Genomic DNA, 3,942 nt, shown 5'->3' on the forward strand with positions numbered 1-3,942 from the left:
ATTTGTTAATTTTGGACTTCAGCAGACAGACCAGTTTGCTCAACAAACCAGTTGCTGCTGATATTCCACAGGATTAAATGTATCAGCAGGAGAAATATCAGCAGCAACTGATTTGTTGAGAAGACTCTGTACTTAGTTGAGACACAAACATGAAATGCATTCATTTTTAAATCAACTGTATTTTGTGGATCCTCCTTTTCCTATGGCTTGGTAATATTTTGGGCTGGTTTCCAAACTTTGTGGTCATGCTGCAATATGGATGAAACTTGAATTACAGTAAGTGAAAAAGGACAGTTACAAAAAGAAAAATATTTTAGGATTACACTTTTTTTAGGTACCTAGAGTAATCAAATTTATAGAGACAGAAAGTAGAATTGTGGTTTCCAGGGCAGTGGCGAGGGAGGAATGGGGAATTATTGTTTAATGGGTACAAATTTTCAGTTTTACAAGACGAAAAGAATTCTGGAGACGGATGGTGGTGATGGTTGCACAACAATGTGAATTTACTTAATGCTACTGAACTATACATTCAAAAATGGTTAAAATGATACATTTTATGTTGTGTGTATTTTAGTACAATTAAAAATGATATTGTAATGTTTTTGTTCTTGGGTTGGATAGTGGCCTCATGGATATTTGTTACATTATCAAGCTTTATTACTAACATCTTACTTACTTATTGCATAGATGAACAAGGTATTGAAAAAGATAATAAGTGAAAGGTCCATTAAAAGGTCCACATCTCCATCTCATGCCCACTTTACTGCTTATCTACTTCTTTCTTTGCCCTCTGGACTAGACTAAGGGACCGGATGTGTAGACGGGCATCATCTGTCCTCTCTCTCCTTCTCTCACCCATCTTCTGGCTCCCTTTTTCTCCTGGAGTGTTGCCTTGCAGAGGAAGATGATGGAAAGAAAAGCATCTGTTACTTAACTGCAGATTTAGTTTATCTTGGCTGTCTTTGTCTCCTGCTAAGACGGATTGGCTGATATTGTGGTATGCAAAGGCTTCTCCATGGGTGGCCTGGGCTCTCCCTTGACACAATCTTCTGAAGGCAGAGACAGCCTCCGACCCCACCTCTTTCTGACTTCCATCAACTACTGCCTCTTGTTCAAGACATCTTCCGAGTTCACTGGCCCCTGAGAGTCTCAAGCTTCCCAGCCCTACCAGGCTCCTACTGCTCCCTGCTGGGTCTTCTCTTACCATTTCTTTCCTCATCTTCCTCAGATAGGCAGAAAGAGCACACCAGAAAATGTAACATGTAACTAGGGAATGAGAAAGCAGCCTCCTCTTCTTGCAATATTTTTTGTTAAATGTAACTACTTACTTATTTTTTGGAACAGGTAATGCATTCACATAATTCAAAATGTAAAATATTCAAAAGAGTAGAGTGTGAAAAGTCTCCTTCTACCCGTCTCCAGCTTCCCACAGGTAACCTGTGTTATTGTGTTCTTATGAATCTTTCTGGAGAGTACAATCAAACATTTATATTCTTTCCTCTCTTGTTGACACAATGGAAACATACTATACACACTATGCTGTATCTTGTTTTACCACTTAACTTATATTGAGATTGTTTTGTCTCAGTAGATAAAAAATTGTTTTACTGCATTCTTAACAGTTTCAGAATATTCTTTTATTTATTCAACCAATTCCCTATTAGTGACATTTGGTTTGTTTTGAATCTATTGCTATCTGAAATAATATTAAAATATATAACTTTGTATGTAGGTCATTTTGCATAAATGTATATGTAGAATATGTATGTATTTATATGTAGAATGTGTGCATTTATATGTAAAATAGGTTCCTAAAATTGGAATTGTGGGGCAAGAGGGCATGTACATTTGTAATTTTTATAGATGTTGCTGAAACCCATCATAGATCTGTGCACCAACTAGCAAGATGCAAGTGTTCCTGTAACCTCTAACATATAATCTGGATAGCATAAATATTATCAATCATTTTATCATTGCAACTCTAATATGTAAAATATATCAGTAGTTTAAATTTCATTTCTCTTATGAAAAAATTTTTATATTGTCTTAAAGAGTTGCCGATATTTTCTTATTGATGGCTAGTGCCTATTATGTAATAATAAAAGCAGGTATGCTTGTGTGTGTGTGTGTGGGTGTGTGTGCATGTGTTGTGAAATTGCTTTTGATTGTGGATTTTTCTCCCTACCTTTTTGGTAATCATGTATTTTGACTTTTCTGTGGTGGAGTTCGCTATGAACAAATATTTAAAATTTTAGCACAACTTACCCTTATTTTACTTTATGGTCTCCAGGTTTTGTGTCATGGTGAAAAAGCCTATACCACTGAAAGATTAGAGAAGATGTCTCCCAGGGCTCTATTCAGTACCTTTATAGTTTTACTTTTTATTTTAAATTTTTGATTTAATTTGAATTTATTATGTTATAAAATTTTAGGTAGATGTCCAACTTTATTATTTTTCCAGGTGGTTACATTTTCCCCCAATATCATATTTTGAAAGATAAAAATCTAGCATCACCTTACTAATGTGAGATCATTTTTAGTATTTACAGAATTACCACATAGATTTGAGTTTATTTCTACTCTTTTTATTCTCTTCTATTGGTTTGAAATTTTGTTCATGCAAAATCACCACACTGCTTTAGTTATTTTGTCTTAAAGAGGATTTGATATTAATACATAAAGAGAATGTAGAATACCACTTTTTTTTTTTGATAGGGTCTCGCTCTGTTGCCCAGGCTGGAGTGCCCAGTGGTGTGATCTCGGCTCACTGCAAGCTCCACCTTCTGGGTTCACGCCATTCTCCTTCCTCAGCCTCTCGAGTAGCTGGGGCTACAGGTGCCTGCCACCATGCCCGGCTAATTTTTTTGTATTTTTAGTAGAGATGGGGTTTCACTGTGTTAGCCAGGATGGTCTCGATCTCCTGACCTTGTGACCTGTCCCCCTCAACCTCCCAAAGTGCTGGGATTATAGGTGCGAGCCACTATGCCCAGCCATCTCTTTTATTACTCTTTTTTTCATAGATTTTTTTTCTGGTTATTAATGCTTTCTGTTTTATATATATATAAAACAGTTTGTGCAATTAAAAATCCTGTTGGTATTTTTTACTGGGATTGTGTTATATTTGTAGTTTAACTTATAGAGATTTAATTTTATGATACTAAATATTCTTATCTAAGAACATGATATACCTTGAGCCCTTTATAGCTTCAAGTTGAATTTTAAACCTTTGTTTACCTATGTGGTTTTCCATAATAGTGGTTTTTAAAAATAGACTTTAGTTTGATAGAAGTTTTGGGTTCACAGTAAAATTGAGTGAAAAATAGAGTTCCCCCATATCCCTTCCCTGCCTGTCCCCCACCGTCTCCCCAACTCTCAATATCCCATACCAGAGTGGTACATTTTTTACAATTGATAAACATATATTGATACATTATTGTCACCCAAAGTCCATTGCTTGTCTTCTTATTCTCTTGACACAGTCTTTTATAGAGCACAAGTGTTAAATTTTAATGAATTTCAGTGTGTCAGTTATTATTTTCTAGGAATATGCCTTTATGTCATATCTAAAAAGTCATTGCCTTCAAAAAGCCAGAATGTCCTCTTACTTCCAAAGAAGCCCACTAGTACACCAGAAATAGTTAAATGAATCAGAAATGACTGAAATGACAGATATAGAATTCAGAATCTGGATGACAAGGAAGCTCACGAAGTTTCAGGAGAAAGTTGAAAGCCAATCCAGGCAATTCAAGGAATCCAGTAAAATGATCCAAGAGCTGAAAAATGGAATAGTCAAGAAAGAAGAAAACCGAACTTCTAGAGCTAAAATTTCACTACCAGAGTTTCATAATACACTCAGAAGTATTAACACCCCAATAGACAAAGGTAAGGAAGGAATTTCTGAGCTCAAAGACTGGTCCTTTGAATCAACTTAGTCAGACAAAA

At 35.6% G+C, this 3,942-nt stretch overlaps 2 annotated features.

The window, feature by feature from the left end:
- Positions 614 to 1,115: an enhancer, noted in NCBI's record as "NANOG-H3K4me1 hESC enhancer chr5:62277957-62278458 (GRCh37/hg19 assembly coordinates)". NCBI's record gives its function as "activates a minimal SCP1, AML or CMV promoter by ChIP-STARR-seq in naive H9 embryonic stem cells {active_cell/tissue: H9 hESC(naive)}" and the evidence as "EXISTENCE:reporter gene assay evidence [ECO:0000049][PMID:30033119]".
- Positions 1,116 to 1,615: an enhancer, noted in NCBI's record as "NANOG-H3K4me1 hESC enhancer chr5:62278459-62278958 (GRCh37/hg19 assembly coordinates)". NCBI's record gives its function as "activates a minimal SCP1, AML or CMV promoter by ChIP-STARR-seq in naive H9 embryonic stem cells {active_cell/tissue: H9 hESC(naive)}" and the evidence as "EXISTENCE:reporter gene assay evidence [ECO:0000049][PMID:30033119]".

Source organism: Homo sapiens, chromosome 5 (genome assembly GCF_000001405.40).
Source record: "Homo sapiens chromosome 5, GRCh38.p14 Primary Assembly".
Lineage (NCBI taxonomy): Eukaryota > Metazoa > Chordata > Mammalia > Primates > Hominidae > Homo > Homo sapiens.